The sequence below is a fragment of the Homo sapiens genome, chromosome 22, assembly GCF_000001405.40.
Source record: "Homo sapiens chromosome 22, GRCh38.p14 Primary Assembly".
In the NCBI taxonomy this organism is placed as follows: Eukaryota; Metazoa; Chordata; class Mammalia; order Primates; family Hominidae; genus Homo; species Homo sapiens.
Window position 1 is genome coordinate 21329612 of NC_000022.11, and position 23529 is coordinate 21353140.

The 23529-nt window shown below is 44.3% G+C and overlaps 1 pseudogene; it reads left to right on the plus strand.

The window, feature by feature from the left end:
* PPP1R26P5 (protein phosphatase 1 regulatory subunit 26 pseudogene 5) lies at positions 11790 to 14156 on the plus strand (annotated as a pseudogene).
* Positions 14157 to 23529: the final 9373 nt, after the last annotated feature.

Sequence of the window (23529 nt, forward strand, 5' to 3'; positions counted from 1 at the left end):
GTTTTGACACCAGGGACTGGTTTTGTGAAAGATAATTTTTCCACGGAGTGGGGATGGCTTTGGGCTGAAACTCTTCCACCTCAGATCATCAGGCATTAGTTAGATTCTTTTTTTTCTTTTTTTTTCTTTTTTAGACTGAGTCTCCCACTGTTGCCAGGCTGGAGTGCAGTGGCACAATCTCGGCTCACTGCAACCTCTGCCTCCCGGGTTCAAGTGATTCTCCTGTCTCAGTCCCCCGAGTAGCTGGGACTACAGGCATGCGCCACCACACCCAGCTAATTTTTGTATTTTTAGTAGAGACGGGGTTTCCATGTTGGCCAGGATTGTCTTGACCTTGTGATCCACCTGCCTCGACCTCCCAGAGTGTTGGGATTACAGGCATGAGCCACAGCACCCAGCCTAGTTAGATTCTCATAAGGAGAACATAACCTAGATCCCTTGTATGGGCAGTTCACAATAGGGTTTGTGCTCCTGTGAAGGTCTAATGCTGCTGCTGATCTGACAGGAGGCGGAGCTCAGGCAGTAATGCTCGGCTGGCCAGCCACTCATCTCCTGCTTTGTGCCCAGTTCCTAACAGGACACGAACCGGTGCTGGTCCATGGCTTGGGTGTTGGGGACCATTGGCCTACTGTATTCAGCACAGTGACATGCTGCACAGGTGTGTAGCCCAGGAGCAATAGGCTGTACGATATAGCCTAGGTATGTAGTAGGCTACGCTGTCTAGGTTTGTATAAAGTACACTCTTTGGTGTCTGCACAGCCACAAAATCACCTAATGATGCATTTCTTGGAATATATTACCATTAAATGAGATTTACCTGTATTAGTGTCATCTCAGGTTTATTGTCTAGTAATTTTAAAAGTATTTGTATATTCTTTCCCAGACACATCATCATACTCTGGTGCATATCTCTATTTTATTCCCTAGACCCACTCTTAATTTTTCTGCATTCTGCTTTGTTCCTTAGGAGGCTCACCTGAATTGGATACTTCAGAGATCTCCCTTACCCTCATGCTTTTATTGGGGTTCAGCTAATGGAGGGGGTGGCAGAAGATAGGTGAGAGAAGAGTGTGTTTATCCCCCACCTCTGCCCCTGCAGGGTCAGCACAGGCAGACTGTGTCCCTTTGCTGAAGATCACAGCTTCTGTCTGGTGCCTTCTTTGGCAAGCTGGCACTGTCTCTAGTCAGATGACTGCTTGGCCCCTTACTACTTACACTCTTCTGTCTGGTTTCTTTGTGACTTTCCTGCTGTGCTGTAAGTAGTCCCTTTATTAGAATCCATCCACATTACCCAGTTATATAAAGACAAATAGTTGGTCACTGATGTAGTTCACTCCCTGAGAATCAGCCTTCATCAAAGATTCCTAACAGTCAGATATTCTGTTGGCCGCTCCATTCCTGCTCCCCATTATTCTAGTTGTGTCTTCCTTGTCTCTAGTGCAGTCACAAAGCATAAGCGCCTCCACTGTCACTTGTTCTTTGCAACTCTAGGATCACATCATTCCCCTTGAAATCAGAGAATCTGCAATCTCCCCAAGCCCACAAAATTCAGCCGTCACAGTACTTTTCAAGCATGCCAGCAGCCCTCCCCAACAAACGAATCCTTAATTTCTTACAGAAACATCTTCTGGGCTTCCTGTGGGACACAGTGCGGGTCGGCTTGGCATGTGGATCACACCTGATATTTTTACCCCCACCTCCTACTATTCCTATTCCTTTGTATGCACCTCTCTTTATTATGCTAGGAAAGCTCTGGCAACACAACCTCAAAATAAGCAGGCCAGTGTGGATTCACAGTTTCTGTCAGACAAACAAACTTGAGCACCACTTCTAACTTCTTGGGCTAAGACTTTAACTTCAGAATCTCTATGTATCTATGTTGATAAACTCAGCCTATGTCAAGATTATATTCTGCATGCCTTAGTCAAACACCATGTAAATCTATGCCTCATATATTCTCTAGGCTTTAGCTGATAGGGATTAGCAAAGTAGTGTGGTTGTTTTGGTCTTTAAACAATGTCCATTTTCTACCAGCTTTCCATTGCACTCTTTTTTTTTTTTTTTTTTTTCTGAGATGGAGTCTTGCTCTGTCGCCCAGGCTGGAGTGCAGTGGCGCGATCTCGGCTCACTGCAAGCTCTGCCTCCCGGGTTCACGCCATTCTCCTGCCTCAGCCTCCCGAGTAGCTGGGACTACAGGCGTGTGCCGCCACACATGGCTAATTTTTTGTATTTTTAGTAGAGATGGGGTCTCACTGTGTTAGCCAAGATGGTCTCGATCTCCTGACCTCGTGATCGGCCCACCTTGGCCTCCCAAAGTATTGGGATTACAGGCGTGAGCCACCACACCGGGCCGAATCCATTGCACTCTTACAGACCATGTTGACAAAATTATAACTGCAACAGTCAACTACAATAGCAATTTTACCTCTCATGTACCACTTTAAAAAACACATCATTCCCAATAACCACATTTGATGATTTAAGTAATCATGATACCACCGTACACTACAGATGATCAGGTTTCTGTCTCCTCCCGACAAGAAGGTCAGGAATTCATTCAGACTGAAACAGGTCAGCAAACCACTTCCAGATTCTCATCTATAAAGATCTATTTCTAGAACCATTTCTAGTACCTATACAATATTAGAATCAAGTCAGGAAGCAGAAAACATTCTAGATATTTTAAACAGAAAACAATTCATGGAGAGATCAATTACAAGAGTATGTGTAGCAAAAGATGAAAGGGTCAGGTTGTTTAAGTAACTTGATAAATCTCTGCTTCTTTTGTGTTGGGTGATAAAAATGTTGACCAGAGATCAGTGGCAGATGATCCAAGGCGTCAGCTGTCCAAGCTCAGCATCTGGAGCCGGTGCTGAGGAAATGTGCATTTCTAGGTCTGGGCGCCATTGGACCATCACTACTGTCCTTGAAGCTGCCACCGTGAGAACTCACATCTCAGCTGCTATAGCCACAGCTGATATTGTCATTGCTTCCAGAATTATTTCCCTTGCTCCATCGTGGGGATCCCGCAATACTGCTGCTGCTGAAATCACTGTTGTTGCTCCTTCCAGAACTGTCGGCACCGCAGCATTATTATCACTGCAGCTACCACTGGAGATGGCTACAGACACCAGAAACGGAAGAGCACCTCTCCCCTCCTCCGGCAGTGTGACTTTCAGTCGGCTCCTCTCGTAGCCAGATGGTATAGAAATGACACACCAATGTCCTTCAGAACATACATGCAAAATATTTTAAATATATTAGAAATTCTATTCCCCTTAGAAAACTAAGTCCACCTACATATTTTTCAAAAATCCATCAGCAATACAGAATAAAGGCATTGGTTCTATACAGCGTTGCAAGAATATTTTAACAATAGAAGGTATTTTAATGTCATTCACCACATTAGGAGATTGAAAAAGGGAAAACACAGGATTACCTTAGCAGATGTAGGAAAAAAATAAGATGGTAAAATACAACATTCATTTATATTAAAATCTTTATACCAAACTAGGAAAAGCAGACAAATTTCTTAACCTGATAAGCTTATCTATAACAAAACCATCGACACCACCATATGTAATGTTGAAGCATAATCGTTATTTTTTATAAAAGCTAGGAAAGGGAATGAGATGTCTGTTGACACTGCTCGTATTTATCATTGTCCTGGGGTTTCTGGCCAGTTCAGTTAAGATAGGACAAAGAAATATTATAGAAAGAGGAAGAAAAAAAGAAAGCACATACGTTGTCATTGTGTGGAGTTTCTGTTTGTTTGTTTATGTGTTTTTGTGAGATGGTGTCTCACTCTGTCGCCCAGGCTGGAGTACAGTGGTGTGATCTTGGCTCACTGCAACCTCATTGTGTGGAGATTTGTAATTACCCATAGAAAATCCAAGAAAATTTGTGGATGCACTAATCAAATCAGCAAGGTTTTCAGATATGAAGGCAAAGTAAAGAGAAAATGAAATTCTTATAAACAGTAGCAACCAATTAAAAATATTATATTATAATATCACATTCATGGTAACATAAAACATTAATGTATCTAAGAATTAATTCAGAAAACAAATACATGATCTTTCATTTAATTTTATTAAAGTTATTTCAATAAATATACCACCAGTATTTTTTTAGAACTTGATTGGAAAAGTCATATTAAAATAATCAATGGAAAGGAAGAACCAAAGTTATTCTGAACAATAATAGCCTATCAATATTTAAATGTGTTTTAATTATAATAATTAAAATGGTTTGCTTTGGCTCAGTGATACACCGTTAAACAATGGGAAAAAATGGAAGCACCAAGAAATAGATCCATAGATATGCTGAATACATTGGACTTGTAATAAAAGATATGATACTAAAAGTCAGTAGAAAAATTATACTATTCAATAAATGATGTCAGAAAAAACATATAAATTTTTATCCATATAGAAATAAAAATCTGTATATTACAGCATATCACAAAATCCTGTATCTATTTAGGTTAAAGACTCAAATCTTAAACTACTTGTGAAATTACTTATGAATATTACATGTTTAAGATATTTAAAAGTATATACAGAGAACTAATGACGTTGGGCAACAAATGGCTTATTAATCAAATGCCAGAATGCATGAAGAAGAAAAGAAAAGAAAAATAAATTAGACTGTATTAAAATGAAAAATCCTAGGCATCCTAAATAAAGGTTAAATGCAAGCCAGAAAATTGGGTAAAATATTTACAAAATATATAATTGAAAAGTATAATATCCATTATATAAAGAGGATTTCTACAAATTAATGATATAAAATAAATAATATAGTAGAAAAAATGATTAAGAACTACTACACAATATTCACAACAGATGATAAATAGTGAATTATTGTGAAAAGACAACTGAAAAGAGCAAGGTACAATTCAACAGCAATAAGACTTTATGCCCTTTTCTATAAAAACACAAAACTATGCCAAGGGCTTTAGGAACCGTGAATTTATATACGGCGAAGGGGAGTTTAAATCTGCCACTTTGAAGAGTTTTTTGGAAATATATAGTAAAGTTGAAAATATATACATATGTGTATATATATATACCCACACACATACACATACACACTAGAAATTCCACAAGGTAAACCTTCTCCAGGAGAATACACACACATTTGCAGAAGAGATGTCCAAAGGTGTTTGTTGAAACATTATTGGTAATAGCTAAAAATTGGAAATAATCTTAAAGCTCATTACTAGGAAAATGGAAAAGTGAATCGTGGTATGTGCATATAATGTAAAACTATACATCAGTTAAAATTAATTGTCTGAATTTATATGGATCAATTTTTATATATTGAAACATCGTTGCATTCCAGGAATAAATCCCACTTGGTCATGGTGTATAATCCTTTTAATATGATGCTGAATTCAGTATGATAGTTTTTTTTTAGACAAAGTTTTGCTCTTGTTGCCTAGGCTGAAGTACAATGGCATGATCTCGGCTCACCACAACCTCCACCTCCCGGGTTCAAGCGATTCTCTTGTCTCAGCCTCCCGAGTAGCTGAGGTTACAGGCATGCACCACCACACATGGCTAATTTTGTATTTTTAGTAGAGACAGAGTTTCTCTATGTTGGTCAGGCTGGTCTTGAACTCCTGACCTCAGGTGATCCACCCACCTCAGCCTCCCAAAGTGCTGGGATTACAGGCATGAGCCACCGTGCCCCACCCAGTATACTAGCATTTTTAGAGTTTTTGCATCAATGATCAGAGGCATATTGATCTGTTGTTTTATTTTCTTACAGTGTTTTTGGCTTTGGTATCAGGGTAATGCTGGCCTCATAGAAAGAGTTAAGAGGTATTCACTCCTCTTCCACTCTTTGGAAATGCTTGAAAAGAATCAGTGTTAGTTCTTCTTTAAACGTTTGGCAGAACTCACCAGTAAAGCTATCAGGTCCAGGACTTTTCTTTGTCATGAGATTGTCTTATTACTGACTCAATTCCCTTACTAGATTAGGTCTATTCTGACTTTCTGTTTCTTTATAATTGAGTCTTGGTAGGTTTTGTGTGTCTAGGAATTCATCTATTTCATCTGGGTTATCCAATTTATGAGCACACAATTATTTATAGTAATCTTTTATAATCCTTTCTAGGCTGGGAATGGTGGGTCATGCCTGTAATCCAACAATTTGGGAGGCCGAGGTGGGAAAATTCCTTGAGGCCAGGAGTTCAAGATCAGCCTGGATAACATGGCAAGATCCTGTCTCTTAAAAAAAAAAAAAAAAAAAGAGCTGGCATAGTGGCGAGCCCAGGAATTCAAGGCTGCAGTGAGCCGATTGTGCCACTGATTGTGGTTGCATCTGATTGTTGCCAGGGCAATAGAGCTAGACCTTGTCTCTAAAACATAGACAGGCAGATAGACAGACAGACAGACAGAAATATATAAAGATATTCTCAAATACATTTCTGTTTTAAGTAATTTAGATTGTTTCCCTTTTCCTTAGTCTTGTCAGTTTTATTAATCTTTTTGAAGAACCAACTTTTGGTTTTGTTTTTTATTGTTTTTCTATTCTCTTTTCCATTTATCTCTGCCCTGATCTCTATTGTTTCCTTCCTTCTGCTAACTTTGGGTTTAGTTTTATTCTTCTTTTTCTAGTTTCTTAATGTGTAAACTTATGTTGTTGAATTGAGGTGTTTCTTTTTTTAATGTGTTTATAGCTATAAATTTCCTCCTTAGCACTCCTTTCACCACAACTCATAAGTTGTGTTTTTTTGTTGTTTCTTTGTTTTTTGAGACAGAGTCTCATTCTGTCACCCAGGCTGGAGTGCAGTGGTGTTAGCTCAGTGGTGCAACCTCTGCCTCCTAGGTTCAAGAAATTCTCATGCCTCAGCCTCCTGGGTAGCTGGGACTACAGGCACGTACCACCACTCCCAGCTAATTTTTGTGTTTTTAGTAGAGACAGGGTTTCACCATGTTGGCCTGGCTGATCTTGAACTCCTGACCTCTAGCTATCCACCTCCCTCAGTCTCCCAAAGTGCTGGGATTACAGGTGTGAGCCACCACAACTGGCCACAGCCCATAAGTTTGGATATAGTGTGCTTTCATTTTCATTTGTCTTTAAGAATTTTATAATTTCTTTGTGATTTCTTTGATCCATTGGTTGTTTGAGAGTGTGTTGTTTAAATTCTACTAATTTGTGAACTTTTTAAAATCTTCTGTTATTGATTTCTAACTTTATCCTGTTGTGGTCAGAGAAGACACTTTGTATGATGTCTATCGTTTTAAATCTACTGAGCTTTTTTCCTTTTTTGGGACAGGGTCTCGTTCTGTCAGTGGTACAATGGTACATTTTCTTTGTCATGAAGTACAGGCTGGAGTACAGTGGTACAATCTCTGCTCATTGCAGCTTCAACCTCCTGGGCTCCTAAGCAATTCTCACGCTTCAGCCTCCCAAGAAGCTGGGATCACAGGCACACACCACCACGCCCAGCTAATTTTTGTATTTTTAGTAGAGATGGGGTTTCACCATGTTGGCCAGGCTGATGTCAAGCTCCTGGCTTCAAGCAATCCACCCGCCTCAGCCTCCCAAATTACTCTGGGATTACAGATGTGAGCCACTGCACCCAGCCCCTATTGAGAATTAATTTGTGATGTGTTATATGGTCTATCCTGAAAATGTCCCATGTATACTTGAGAAGTATGTGTATTATGTTGTTGGGTAGAATATCCTGTGTATGTCTGTTAGGTCTAGTTGTTTTTTCAGGTGTTGTTCAAGTGCTGTATTTCCTTACTTATGTCTGGTCTGGTTGTTTTATTCATTTGTGAAATGAAGACAAGGGACAAAATCCTAAGACATCCCCCTTAAAACGGAAGGACCACCCACAGAAAAGGACTGAGAGACCCCCAGAATCTATAGCTTAGCTAATTGATGGTCTTTCTCTCCTGAAGTTAGTAAAGAGTGGAAAAGATGACTCCTTCTTCAAACATGAAGAAAGCAATCTAAGTCTTCAAAGAACAGGAAGCATGAGAAAATATGACACCACCAAAGAAACAAAATGAAACTCCAGTGGCTGACTCCAAAGACATGAAGATCTACAAATTGCCTGACAAAGAATTCAAATAATCATCTTAGGGTGACATCAGCAAGATGGCAGAACAGGAGGCCCTCCACTCACCTCTCCCCACACAAACAATGATCTGGCGGCCATTCATGGACAAAACTGCCTTTGCAAGAGTTTTAATATCCAGGCAGGAGGTGGCAAAACTCTAGCAAAGCCCAAAACCAAGGAGAGCTGCTTTGAGAAGGCAGGTCCACACACCAGTGACAGGTTCCCAGTTGCAGACTGAAAGCAGCTTTGTCCTCCTATGGACTTGGGTCCAGCTCCACTAGATCATGGTCTTGCAACTAGCCCCATCCACTAAGCACCTAGGAGGAACCATGACCATTTATGCCCCCAGTAACAGGCCTTCTAACCATGGTCCTGACTGCAGAAACTAAAGCAGCCCTGACCTGGCTTCAGCCCCACTCTACCACAGTCAGTCGTGCCTGCCCAGGAATTCAGTGATGCCTTTACATACCCTTGGTAACAGGCCTGCTGATCTCAGTCTCAGCTATGGACAGTAAAGTAGCCCTGTGACTCCATTCCAGTCTTGCTTTGCCACAGTCTGGGCACAGTCCAGCCCATCCTGGGACCTGGTGAAAGACATACCATCCATTCTCCTAATAAGAGGACCACCAATCTTGAACCCAAATGTGGTCACCAAAGCTGTCCTGTGACTTGGCTCTAGCCCTGCTCTACTGTGGTCTGGAGGCAGTCCTGTCTTCCCATGGACCTACCTAGTAAACCAGCAGGAGCTCAATCTGGGACCCACAGGGAGCTATACCAGTCCATGCCCTTGGTAATAGGCCTGATATCTGAAGACTTGACTGTAGAACTAGAAGTGGCCCCATGACCTGGCTCCAGTCCTGTTCAATCAGGGTATCAGAGGCAGTCCAGTTCTCCTGAGGATCCAGCAGAAACTGCATCACCAACCTATGCCTTGATAGCGGCCTGCCAATCAGAGATTCAGCTGCAGACCAGGCAGCAGCCATGTGATATGGCTCCAGGCCCACTTGACTGTGATCCAGTCAAGGGATCCAGCAGGAAAAGGTTTGTACCTGCTGAAACCAATCTATAAAGACAGAAAGAGATTGGGCATGGTGGCTCACACCTGTAATCCCAGCACTTTGGGAGGCCAAGGCGGGCAGACCACTTGAGGCCAGGAGTTTGAGACCAGCCTGGACAACACGGTGAAACTCTGTCTCTACAAAAAATACAAAAAAATTAGCCAGGCGTGGTGGCACATGCCTGTGATCCCAGCTGCTTGGGAGGCTGAGGCAGGAGAATCATTTGAACCTGGGAGGTGGAGGTTACAGTGAGCTGAGATCACGCCACTGCACTCCAGCTGGGTGACAGAGCAAGACTCTGTCTCAAAAAAAAAAAAAAAAAAAAGAAGAGGTATTTGCTTCTTCATAGACATTAATGAAAGTCTGTAGATCATGAAGAATCAGCAAATATGACACTACCAAAATAAACTCATAAATCTCCAGTAATCAACCCCCCAAAAATAGAGATCTACAAATTGCCTGACAATTCAAAATAATTAAGATAGCTCAGTGAAATTTACTAGAATGTATATATCAACTCAATAATATCAAGAAAATAGTAGATGAACAAAGCTAAAAGTTCAATAAAGATACAGAAATAATAAGAACCAAACAGAAATTCTAGAACTGAAGAATACAATGAATAAAATGAAAATGCAAGCTGGGTGCCATGGCGGACGCCTGTAATCCCAGCACTTTGGGAGGCCGAGGCAGGCGGATCACTTGAGGTCAAGAGTTCAAGACCAGCCTGGCCAACATGCCAAAACCCCATCTGTATTAAAAATACAAAAATTAGCCAGGCATGGTGGCATATGCCTGTAATCCTAGCTACTAGGGAGGCTGAGGCAGGAGAATCGCTTGAACCGGGAGGTGGAAGTTGGAGTGAGCCAAGATGGCACCACTGCATTCAAGCCTGGGTGACACAGACTCTGTCTCAAAAATATATAAAAATAAATAAATGAATGAAATGAAAATGCAATAGAGAATTTCAATTGCAGACTTGATCAAACAGAAGAAAGAATCTGTGAAATTAAAGACAGGACATTTGAAATATCCCGTCAGAAGACCAGAAAGAAAAAAAAGTTTATAAGTAAAAACCTTTGGGATTTATAGGACACCACCATGAAGTGGGTCAAACATATTATGGACTTCCTAGAAGTAAAAAAGATAGAAAAGGCCTGAAAGTATATTTGAAGACATAATGGGTAAAAACTTTCCAAATTCTTAGAGGCAAGTGGGCTTCCAGACACATGAAGTTCAGAGGCCCCAAAAAAGGCCAGCCCAAAGACCATAATACCAAGATGTATTATAATTAAAATATCAAAAGTCAAAGACAGAGACTTTCAAAAGCAGCAAGAAGAAAGGAATTCATCACATACAAGGAAACTTCAATAAGGCTATCAGTGGATTTCTCAGCAGAAACCTTATAAGCCAGGAGAGAATAGGATGCTATATTCAATGTATTGGAAGAAAAAAACTGCCAATCAGGAAGACCACAACTTGTAAAGCTGTCCTTCAGAAATGAAAAAGAGATGATAAGGTCTTTCCCAGACTCCCACCAAAAAAATTCTAAGGGAGTTCATCACCACTGCACCTGCCTTATAAGGCAGTTTTTCAAGTTGAAATAAAAGGATTCTGATTAGCAACATTAAAACATTAAGATATTAAGTTCACAGGTAGGCCGGGCGCAGTGGCTCACACCTGTAATCCCAGCACTTTGGGAGGCCAAGGCGGGTGGATCACAAGGTCAGAAGAGGGGGATCATGCTGGCTAACACGGTGAAACCCCGTCTCTACTAAAAATACAAAAAATTAGCCAGGCGTGGTGGCGGGTGCCTGTAGTCCCAGCTACTCGGGAGGCCGAGGCAGGAGAATGACTTGAACCCGGGAGGCAGAGCTTGCAGTGAGCCGAGATCATGGACACTGCCCTCCAGCCTGGGCGACAGAGCGAGACTCTGTCTCAAAAAAAAAAGTTCACAGGGAAAGGTAAGTATATAGTCACATTCATAACACTGTAATATTGCAGTGGTGGTGTGTAAATCACTTTTCACTGTAGTATAAAAGTTAAAATGTAAAAGTATTAGGCGGCCCGGGCGCGGGGCAGCTGCTGCGGGGAGGCGGGGAGGCGGGGGGCCTGGCCGGACACCCCTGCGCCCCCTCCCCGCACCCGGGCGGAGGGCGGCCTCTTCCCCCTCCCCCTCCCCCACCACCCCCGGCAGCCGCCTCCCCCAGGACGCAGGAGGCGGGCGGAGGCCGGGTCCGCGCAGCGGGCGACTTGCCGCATGGGCCGGGTCGAGGTGGGGGGGCGGTTTCGGGGGCTGGGAAGCTGGGGTGCCGGGGACAGGAGGGTGGGGGAGCTGGGGAAAGGAGGGCTGGGGGGCCGGGGACAGGAGGGCCATGCAGGCAGTGGCAAGCGGGCGGCGAGGGCTCCGTGGGGCAGGTGGACGGGGATCAGCGCCTGGGGCTGCTCCGTTCCCCAGGCGGGTGTCGTGGCTCTGGCCTCCATGCAACTCCAGGTCTGCGCGCCCCGCGCTGCTGGAGCCCCAGTCAAAAGTCTATTTAAAAAGCAGAGAGAGGATGCTTCCCTCTGAGTGGAGCGATGAAGACCTGATCCCTGGGCCATTTGGGAACACTAGCTGCCTTTCATCACAGTCAACCTGGACTCAGAGAATGTCAAGAGCTTGTTGGTTGGGTCAAGAATGAATCTAGGCATGACGTCATAGTTTATAGTCATCCTTTTAAACCTGCAAAGAAGCATTTGCAGGTTTAAAGTTATTTCACGGGTACTGCTTGCCAATCTTTGGAGGATGTGAAGCCTGCAGAGAAATAAAGTGTCGCCCCTCTGCGCGTCGCTCCCCATCTGCTAGAATGTTTCTCATGAATGCTCCTCCAGTGGTTGCTCTCCAGCCCAAATGGGAGGCCTCTGTCCCACCAGGGAGCTTTAGGTTCCCCGGGTGCTTCTCGGAGGCTGACAAGGGCGTGGAGAGCATGTCGGTGAGCACCCGGGTGCAGATGCTCATCAGCACGCTGCAGAGCGACAGGGCTGCTAGGGGCACCAGCGATGAGCGCACTGCGCAGAGGGGGCAGAGGGATGCCACGACGCCAGGCCTGCTGCCAAGCCCACCATGCACAAGGAGCTGCCTGCGTTGGCTGCCTGTGGTCTTGTTGCTGACTTTGACCCCGTGGGGGAGGAGGAAACTGCAGACTTTGGCCCATTGGTGCTAGATTCAGACAGTGACGATTCCGTGGACCGGGACATTGAGGAGGCCATCCAGGAGTACCTGAAGGTAAAGAGTGGAGCCGCACAGCCCGGGGCCAGCGGGGCCCAGCCATGCACAGCCTTCCAGGGCTGCAGGCGGAGGCAGTAGATGTAAGCGGGAACTGGCTCACAGCAGTGCCCAACTGCCCTGTGTTCCCCAAAACTTGTACCTGGCTCAGGTGGTGTGGCCCTGGCAGCCAGGTGGGATCCAGCAAGGACCAGGGCTCTGCCTCCCCAGTCAGCATGAGCAGAGCAGACTCCTTTGAGCAGAGCATCAGGGCAGAAATAGAACAGTTTCTGAATGAGAAAAGACAGCATGAGACCCAAAAATGTGATGGGTCAGTGGAGAAGAAACCAGACACACATGAAAATTCGGCGAAGTCACTCTCGAAATCCCACCAAGAGCCGGCTACAAAGGTGGTGCACCGGCAGGGCCTGATGGGCGTCCAGAAGGAGTTCGCCTTCTGCAGACCTCCCCCGGTTAGCAAAGACAAACGTGCAGCCCAGAAGCCTCAGGTCCAAGGTCACGACCACGACCACGCAGGAGAAGGAGGGCAGCACAAAGCCAGCAACCCCCACCGCCCTTCAGAAGCAGTACAGAATAAAAGTGGGATTAAAAGGAACGCCAGCACCGCAAGGAGGGGAAAGCGAGTCACGAGCGCCGTACAGGCGCCCGAGGCGTCCGACTCCAGCAGCGACGACGGCATTGAGGAGGCCATCCAGCTGTACCAGGTGCAGAAAACACACAAGGAGGCCGACGGGGACCCGCCCCAGAGGGTCCAGCTCCAAGAGGAAAGAGCACCTGCCCCTCCCGCACACAGCACAAGCAGCGCCACAAAAAGTGCCTTGCCAGAGACCCACAGGAAAACACCCAGCAAGAAGAAGCCAGTGCCCACCAAGACCACGGACCCTGGTCCAGGGGATCTGGACGCTGACCATTCCCCCAAGATCCCAAAGGAAACCAAAGCTCCACCTCCAACGAGCCCGGCTTCCAGGAGCAAGTTTGTGGAATGGTCCTCTTGCCAGGCAGACACCTCCGCTGAGCTGATGTGTGTAGAAGCAGTCCTGGACATTTTCAAGACGATCCTGCCGGCCCTATGGAGGGCAGCGATGGGTCCCTGTCCGCAAGCCCACTCTTCTACTCCCCCAACGTGCCTTCCCGCTCTGATGGTGACAGTAGCTCCGTGGACAGCGACGACAGCATTGAGCAGGAAATCTGGACGTTTTTGGCCCTCAAGGTGCAGTCTAGAAGTTTGCTGGCCAGAGGTGAGAGCTGCCCTCAGGCTGCCCAGGGCCCACTTTCACCACCTGGCCTCAGCAGCCAGACCGGCAGCCCCAAGGCCCCTCTCTCTAAAACACTGGACCCACTCCTGGCTGCAAAAGGAAGCATAGAGGCGGCTGCCAAGTGAGGCCATCCACTCCCAAGAACATGCGGGTGGTGGGGAAAGAGGGTTGGCCAGGATGCCGACCGCAGCCAGGGGAGAGCCGGGCCCGGCCATGAGGGGCGGGACCTTTCCATCCAGGGCACAGCCAGCGAGGCCCCGGGATGGGAGGGCGCCGCTAGGGTGGGACCTTTCCATCCAGGGCACAGCCAGCGAGGCCCCGGGAGGAGAGGGCGCCGCTAGGGTGCCCGGTGACACTCGCACGTCACAGGGCCAGGGTAAGACAGACGAGGCAAGGCACCTAGACAAGAAGAAGAGCTCCGAAGACAAAAGCAGTTCCCTGGACAGTGACAAGGACCTGGACACAGCCATCAAGGACTTGTTAAGGTCCAAGTGAAAGCTCAAGAAGAGGTCCAGGGAGCCCAGGGCTGTGTGCAGGAAGAAGGTCAGGTTCAGCACCTCCCAGACGCACTTCCAGGAGCAGCTGGGCAGGCTCCTGAGAGAGTGGAAAAACAGGCACCTGCAGGTGCTGAAGAGCTGCCTAAGTCCAAGAGAGACAGCTGCGAGGGCTCCAGGAAGAAACCCCCCAGTGTCTTTGGCAGCAGGGCCGAGAGGACGAAGCCCCGGCCTTCCTGGTGAGGAGACCCGCTTCTGCCTCCGCCTCCGAAGAGAATCTATTCCCCAGAGAGTCCCAGGGCCCAGCTCCCAGCCTTGGCTCCTTGTCTGACAACAGCAGTTCAGTGGACAGCGACGATAGCATCGAACTGGAGATTAGGAAGTTTTTGGTGGAAAAGGCCAAGGAGTCGGTGAGCAGTTCAGAAGTTCAGGCAGAGGGCCCCACCGCTCTCGGGACAGGGGGCCCAGCCAGGCCAGAGGTACCTTGCAGGAAGGAGCCGGCCCCACTGCCTGGCATGTGCACACGGAGCCAGAGGGCCGGGGGGTCCCACATTTGGCTAAAGGGCATCGAGGCGCAGGGAGCGCAGGAGCACAGGGCGCAGCGTGCCTGCTCAGCCAGGGTGGGAAGGGGCTCCCCACTGATCCGGCGGAGGGGATCATGCGCCACCCAGGAGGACCAGCGGCAGTGTCTCCGCCAAGGTCTCTCAGTGAGCAAGAGAAATGTTTACGTTTACAAAGACCAGAGCCCACGAGGGGCTGAGCCTGCTGCCAAAAGTGCTTTTGGTCAGCGGCCCAGCTGTGCCACAGCGGGCACCGAGGCAGGAGGAGCCAGGGGGACCTTTCACGTGGACTGCAGGAACCGGAGCTTCCTGACCCCCAGCCCGGGAGCTGAGAGGGATGCTGGAGCCCAGGCCAACCGCGCCCCGCCCTGGAGTGACTTTGCCCACCACAGTCAGCTGCCCAGCCCATGGGCACTGCGCTCCAAAGGTAGAGATGCGGCGTGGAGGGGGCGGCATTGGGAGAGAGAGACAAGGGGTCCGAGGGCCCCACCCGGGGCCTGCCCAGCCTGCCCCTTGCGGGCTTCTCCCCGCTGCTGTCCACCCAGCTCTTCCACTTTGGAAAGGGTGTCTCCTGGGGGGGCAGGGAGACCGGCCTCTTCAGCCCCTACCTGGGGCTGCCTCTGCAGGGCCTGTCCTTCTCGGCCTTCAGGGAGTCCCAGGCCAGGCCCAGCCCTGTCTTTGGAAGCCCACACTTGCTGGCGAAGAAGGACTGCGGTCACCGGCCAAGCAGGAAGGTACAGACGGGGCTGAGTTTGCACAACAGGAAGAGCTCTGGCTCGGAGGAAAGGATTTTAGACCTGAGGTATCCACGAAGGGTCAATCAGTAGAGTTGACCAGGACCAGGACACCTTGGGCAGGGACACCAGTGATTTCAGCAACACCTCCGCAGAGGTGTTGCTGCTGCAGTGGCGGCAGCTCAGTAGTGAAGGTATAAGACCTCGAGCTGTGGGTTCGCGTCCTGGGTTCCATGCATTCGTGGAAAGCGGCATAGCCGACGTGTATCTGTGCCTGTGTGTGATGGTTCTGTGGTTGCAGGGAGGGGAAACAGTCTGTTATACATAGTCTTGTATATATGTATACCAACACGAAACAATGCTTTTATTTAACAGATGTGTCCTGGTAAATATGATTTTTGTAGATTTTGTACATTATTTAAAGTGATGAAAAATGTTTTTGGAAAATACTGTTGGTCAATTTTGTAGGGTGTTCCTTAACTGCAGTTTTCTGTGTTCTGCATACAAGTCTTAGATTAGAAAACATTTGGTTTTTATCATCACAACCAGGTTTACAGGGACTCTGATGTTTTTTGGTTGGTTGCTGGTGAGAATGGCCAGCGCTGGCTGCAGGGGTAGCCTTAGGAAGGCCGAGGTGCCCTCCCCAGGAATCGCTCACATGCCCCAAAGTGTCCGTCAGGAAGTTCCTGGGACAGCACTTTTTATACAGAGGACACCCCCCCACCACCGCCTGGCTTCATGGTCCTTGGAGGCCAGAGCACATCTGAAAACTACAGGAATGGAAAACCAAACTCCGCATGTTCTCACTCATAAGTGGGAGTTGAACAATAAGAACACTTGGACACAGGGCAGGGAATATCACACACTGAGGCCTGTTGGGGGATGGGGGCAAGGGGAGAGATAGTATTAGGAGAAGTACCTAATGTAAATGATGGGTTGATGGGTGCAGCAAACCACCATGGCACATGTATACCTAAGTAATAAACCTGCACTTTCTGCACGGCTACCCCAGAACTTAAAGTATAATTAAAAAAAAAAAAAAACAGAAAAAATAAGTAGAGATTAAACCAGTAATGAAAAATCTCCCAACAAAGAAAATCCCAGGACCAAATGGTTTTACTGGTCAATTTCAACAAACATTTAAAGAATTAATAACAATCCTTCTCAAACTCTTCCAAAAAAATTGAAGAAAAGGGAACACGTTGAAACTCATTCTAAGAGGCCAGCATTATCCTGATATCAATGCCAGATAAGAACACTACAAAATAAGAAAACTATAGGTCAATATCCCTGGTTAACATAGATGCAAAAATCCTCAATGAAATACTAGTAAACCAAATTCAACAGTGCATTAAAAGAATTATTCACCATGAATCCAGTCTCTACCAAAAATCCAAAAAAAAAAAAAAAAAAAAATTAGCTGAGCATGCTGGCGGGTGCCTGTGGTCCCAGCTACTAGGGAGGCTGAGGCAGGAGAATGGCGTGAACTTGGGAGGCGGAGCTTGTAGTGAGCCGAGATCGCGCCACTGCACTCAGGCCTGGATGACAGAGCGAGACTCCATCTCAAAAAAATAAATAAATAATAAATAAATAAAAAACAAAAAAAGAATTATTCACCAGGATCAAGTGGGATTTATCTCTGGCATGCAAGGATGCTTTAACATACAAGAGTCACTAAATGTGATACACCACATCAACACAATAAACGATAAAAATCCTTTATTTTTATTATTAAAAAGCACTTGATAAAATTCAACATCCTTTCATGATTAAAAAAAACAACAAACTGAGCAAATTAGGTGCAGAAGGAATGTACCTCAACATAATGAAGACCACATGTAACATACTCAACAGTGAAAGACTGAACGTTTTTCCTCAAAGATGAAGAACAAGACAAGAATTCCTACTCTCACCATTTCTCCTCAAAATAGGACTGGAAGTCCTAGCCAGAACAATTAAGCAAGTAAAGAAATAAGAATGGAAGTAAAATGGTCTCCATAGATGACATATTTTTATGTATAGAAAACTGTAAAGACTTCACTAAAAGACTGTTAGAAGTAATAAATTCAATAAAGTAGCAAGATACAGAGTCAACATCCAAAAATCAGTTGCATTTCTATGCATAGATGGACTGGAGGGCATTATGTTAAGTAAAATAAGCCAGACACAGAAAGTGAAATATTGTACAATCTCACTTATGTGTGGAACCTAAAGACGTCAAACTCAGAAGAAGAGAACAGAATGGTGGTTGCTGGGAGCTGGGGAAGAGAAGGAAATGGGAAGTTGATGGTTAAAGTGTACAAATTTCAGTTATGCAAGATAAGTAAGTTCTGGAGAGCTATACAGCATAGTACCCACAGAAAATGATACTATATTCTTAAATTGTTTAATTAAAAACTTTTATTATTATTATTTTTTTTTAGACAGAGTTTCACTCTTGTTGCTCAGGCTGGAGTGCAATGGTGCTGTCTCGGCTCACTGCAACCTCCGCCTCCCAGGTTCAAGAGATTCTCCCACCTCAGCCTCCCAGTACTTTGCTCAGATTATAGGTACCCGCCACCACGCCCAGCTAATTTTTGTATTTATAGTAGAGATGGGGTTTTGCCATCTTAGCCAGGCTGCTCTCCAACTCCTGATCTCAGGTGATCTGCCTGCCTCAGCCTCCCAAAGTGCTGGGATTACAGGCGTGAGCCACCGCACCTGGCCATTAAAAACATTTTTTTATACAATAATAATAATAAAGAGGCAGAAGGAAATTTTAAAAGGTGATGGATATGTTTATAGGCTTGATGATAATGGTTTTATGGTGTAAATTTATCAAGATGTGTACGTTAAATATGTACAGTTTTTATGTAAATCATTCCTCAACAAAATGGTTTAAAAAGTAATAAAGTAATTACTGATAAGGGGGGACTTACTTCTGGCATTTTGCTATACATTTTCTATATGCCTTACAGCATTTTTGTCCATTTCCTGCATGATCTCATTTGTATTTAGTTGATTTTTTGTAGCGAAGTGTTTTAATTCCCTTCTCATTTACTTTTTTATGTTATATAATGTTTTATTTGTGGTTACCATAGGGATTACACTTAACATTCTAAAGTTATAGCACTCTAACTTGAATTCATACCAGCTATATTTCAATAATATGCAAAAACTCTCCTCACAGTTTTGCCACTCCTCTTTCAGTTATCAATGTCACAAAATTACATTTTTGTACATTGTGTGTCCATAAACATAAACTAATAATTGTTTTTAATGCATTTGTCTATTAAATTATGTAGAAAGCAAAACATGGAGTTTTAAACCAAAGTTACGATAATACTAGATTTAATATTTTCCCATATATTTACTTTTACTGGCATCTTTATTTCTTCATATGGCTTTGAGTTACTATCTAGTGTTCTTTCTTTTCAACCTGCATGATTCTCTTTAAGATTTCTTGCAGGGCAGGTCTAATGGTAGCAAACTTCTCAACTTTGGTTTATTTGGGGATTTCCCAATTTCTTCCTCACTTTTGAAGGACAGTTTTGCTGGATATAGGATTCTTGGTTGAGAGGTAGTGGTTGTTTTTCTTTTAGCCCTTTACATATGTCATCCCATTGTCTTCTGTTCTCCAAAGTGTCTGATGAGAAATCTACTTATAATCCTATTATATATTCCTAGCATGTGACTAGTTGCTTCTCTCTTGGTGCTTTCAAGAGGCCCTACTGGCTAATTATAATGTCTCAGTATGAGTCTTTTTTTTTTTTTCATCCTACTTGGAGTCCATTGAGTTTTCTGGATATTTATTTTCATGTCTTTCATCAAATTTGGGAAGTGTTCAGCTTTTTTTTTTCTTTTTTGAGACAGAGTCTCGCTCTGTTGCCCAGGCTAGAGTACAGTGGTGTGATCTTGGCTCACTGCAACCTCTGCCTCCTGGATTCAAGTGATTCTTCTGCCTCAGCCTCCTGAGTAGCTGGGACTACAGGTACGTGCCACCACGCCCAGCTAATTTTTTTTTTTTTAAACGGAGTTTCACTCTTGTTGCCCAGGCTGGAGGGCAATGGCACAATCTCGGCTCACTGCAACATCTGCCTCCTGGGTTCAAGCGATTCTCTTGCCTCATCCTCCCAAGTAGCTGGGATTACAGGCATGCACCACCACACCTGGCTAATTTTGTGTTTTTAGTAGAGACGGGGTTTCACCATATTGGCCAGGCTGGTCTCGAACTCCTAACCTTGTGATCCACCCACCTTGGCCTCCCAAAGTGCTGGGATTACAGGTGTGAGTCACCGTGTTCAGCCTCAGCCATTATTTCTTCAAATGATCTCTCTGCCCCTTTCCCTCTCTTCTTTTGGGACTTCCACAATGTCTGCTTGCTATTCAACAATCGTCTTTATTTCTGTTCCTCTGACTTGATCATTTCAAGTGTCCCATCTTCAAATTCACTGAATCTTTCTTCTGTTGCTCAAATCTGCTTTTGAATCCCTCTGGTGAACTTTTATTTCAATCACTACACTTTTAGTTCCAGAATTTATTTATTTTTTTTCTTTTTAGGTTTTCTATCTCTTTATTGATATTCCCATTTTGTTTACACATAATTTTACTGACTTTCTCCACATCTTCCTTCAGTTCTTTGACCATCTTTAAGAAAGTTGTTTTAAAGTATTTGTGTAGTAGGTTACCATCTGGTCTTTCTCTGGAACAGTTTCTGTTGTTGTTTTTCCTTTGAAATACCATATGTTCTTGTTTTTTGTATGCCTTGTGTTTTGTATTGAAAACTGGACACTTGAATATAATAATGCAGTAACTCTGGAGATGAGACTCTCCTCTTCCTCAGGGTTTGCTGTTTTGGGGTTTTGTTATGTTTTACATTGTTGTAGGTTGTCTCCATGCTGAGGATCAACCTGAGTTGTAAGCTTGAGGTCTTCTCAGGTCTGAAGCTGCTCCTTTCCCTGGGCACACACTCCTCTCTCCAAGGATGTGTGGTAACTTTAATTTCCTCTGTGTATGCCATTGCTTTTGAGTGTCCTAGTCTTTAATGTTTGGCTCCCAAAAAAGGAAAAGAGAACAATGAAGGGGAAGGGAAATGGGGTTCTGGCCTTTTCTATCTCCTAGAAGTTGCTTCAGTCTGGTAAGGGCTTGCAGCAGTGGAGTGGGGAGTTGTGAGCAATAATGGCTGCCGGCCTCTGTGTTTGCCCTTCCATAATCAAAAGTAGCAATCAACAACCAGAACGCAGATGCTAACACTTGGAGGACAGAGTGCTTATCGCCCATGATTGTTCCCACAAGCTTGGTACAAGCTGCTTCAGGAACACATGCAAAGCTTCTTGCCGTGAAGCTGGGGCATGGGGATTGGGTAGCCACTGCTGAGCTAAGAGCTGAAATTGACCAAAATTAAGTAAAAATTATAGTTTAAGCCTTCATTTGGAGGTTACAAGCCTCCTTTGATAGAGTCTAGAGTTCCAAAATAGTTATATCAGGCAGATTCTGCCAGTGTGATTATTTTCTAGGTGGGGAGATGAATTCCCAGTGCTTCCTACTCCACTTTCTTCCCAGAACCCTCTCTTGTAATAGTTTTTTACTTAAAATCTATTTTGTCTATACTTTTTTTCCATATATTTACTTTTTATTGAATTTGTTAACGTTACAGAGTTCTTGCACTGCCAAACCATGCCTGAGAATTCAAACAAATGGTACAATGGACAGCCTCATCCACCCATCATACAGTATATTAAAACTTGATTCATCTATATTTTGATATTTTCACAATCTTTTAAAAAGTTATAATAAGAGCTGGAATTTAAATCTGCTGCAGGTCTTCAGATTTTGAGTACAGTATGCCTTTACATAACACCTCCACTTACTCATCTCTGTTCATTCTTCAGTAACATAAACCCCAACAACTTGTACAGCCATAACTTGTACAGCCATTCCTGATCTGTTTTGGTTACTTTTTGCACGGAATATTCTCCATTCTCTCATTTTTCAACCCATTTGTATTGGATTTCAAATGAGTCTCTTGTAGACAGCATATATAGTTGAATCCCGTTTTTTTAAATCCAATCAGCCGATTTATGTCTTTTTATTGGGAGTTTAACCTATGTACATTTAATGAAATTATTGATTAGGAAGGACTTACTACCACCATTTTGGTCATTGTTTTCTGTATGTTTAGAGCCTTTTTGTCCTTCTTTCCTCCCTTATTGTCTTCCTTTGTGTTATAGTTGATTTTTTGTAGTGCTATGCTCTGATTTCCTTCTCATTTCCTTTTGCATATATTCTGTAGGTATTTTCTTTGTGGTTACTATGGGAATTACATGGAACATCTTACAGTTATCTTATTATTTTAAACAGATAACTTCAATCACATACAAAACCTCTACTCTTTACATCTTTGCCCCACTATTAAGTTACTGATGTCACAAATTAAACTTTATATACTTTGTATCCATTAACATAGATTTATAATTATTATGCTTTTGTCCTTTAAATTCCATTAAAGTATTAAAAATTGAGTTATTAGCAAAAATTACAATAATACAGGTTTTAATCTTTATGTATTTACCTTTATATTTTCATCAGGCTGAGCAACTGTCTAGTATCCCTTCATATCAACTTGAAGGACTCCCTTTATTGTTTCTTTTTTTTTTTTGAGATGAAGTCTCGCTCCGTTGCCCAGACTGGAGTGCAGTGGTGTGATCTCAGCTCACTGCAACCTCTACCTCCCGGGTACAAGTGATTCTCCTGCCTCAGCCTCCTGAGTAGCTAGGATTACAGGTGCGTGCCACCACACCCAGCTAATTTTTGTATTTTTATTAGAGATGGGGTTTCGCCATGTTGGTCAAGCTGGTCTTGAACACCTGACCTCAGGTGATCCACCTGCCTCGGCTCCCGAAAGTGCTGGGATTACAGACGTGAGCCACTGTGCCCGGCCCCTTTATTATTTCTTATTGGTCAGGTCTAGTGGTAATAAACTCCTTCAGCTTTTATTTATCTGGGAATGTCTTAATTTCTCCTTCACTTTTGAAGGACAGTTTTGTCAAATATAGTATTCTCAGTTGGCAGGCTTTACTCTTTCAGTACTTTCAATGTATCATCCCACCACCTTCTGGCCTGCAGGGTTTCTGCTGAAATATCCACTGATAATCTTCTAGAGGCTCCCTTGCACATGAGAAGTCACTTTTCTCTTGCTGCTTTTAAGATTCTCTCTATACTTACTACCACTAAATTCTACACTTAAAAATGGTATAATCTGTTATGTATATTTTGCCACAATAAAAACATTGGAAAGAGGTACCATAGAAGAGTATATTACATGCACCATAGGCTGGAAAACATTTTCAGAGATTAGGCTATTCTCAGTAACTCACATATCTAGTTCTGGTAAACACTGATTGATTTAAACAAATATCAATGAACAAAGTATTACATGCACCGCGTGCAGCTAAACAGTGTTTCGCTGACATAACACTAGTACCTAGATCTGATAAACTATCTAAACAGGCATCACTGAAACTATACTACAGAAAACACAGAATGCTAACCACAGTATTTCCAAGAGTCAACGCTACACCTGGGCAATCTTGCACCTATCTCTGTTAAACACAGGGTTTGAACTTGGAACAACAAAGAATGTAGTACCTGCACCACACACTTCTTAAAACAGGGTTTTGGCCGGGTGTGGTGGCTCACGCCTGTAATTCCAGCACTTTGGGAGGCTGAGGCAGGAGGATCACCTGAGGTCAGGAGCTCGAGACCAGCCTGGCCAACATGGTGAAACCCCGTCTCTACTAAAAATACAAAAATTAGCTGGGTGTGGTGGCAGACGCCCGTAATCCCAGCTACTCAGGAGGCTGAGGCAGGAGAATCGCTTGAACCTGGGAGGCAGAGGTTGCAGTGATCCGAGACCACACCATTGCACTCCAGCCTGGGTTGCAAGAGCAAAACTCCATCTCAAAATAAATAAATAAATAAATAAACAGGGTTTCATAGGGAAAACACTATGCTAAGTCATTCACAAACCTATTTCTAATAAACACAGATAGTGAACATGCATTAAAGAAGGCTATCTTAGATGAGCCACACCCTGCTAAACAC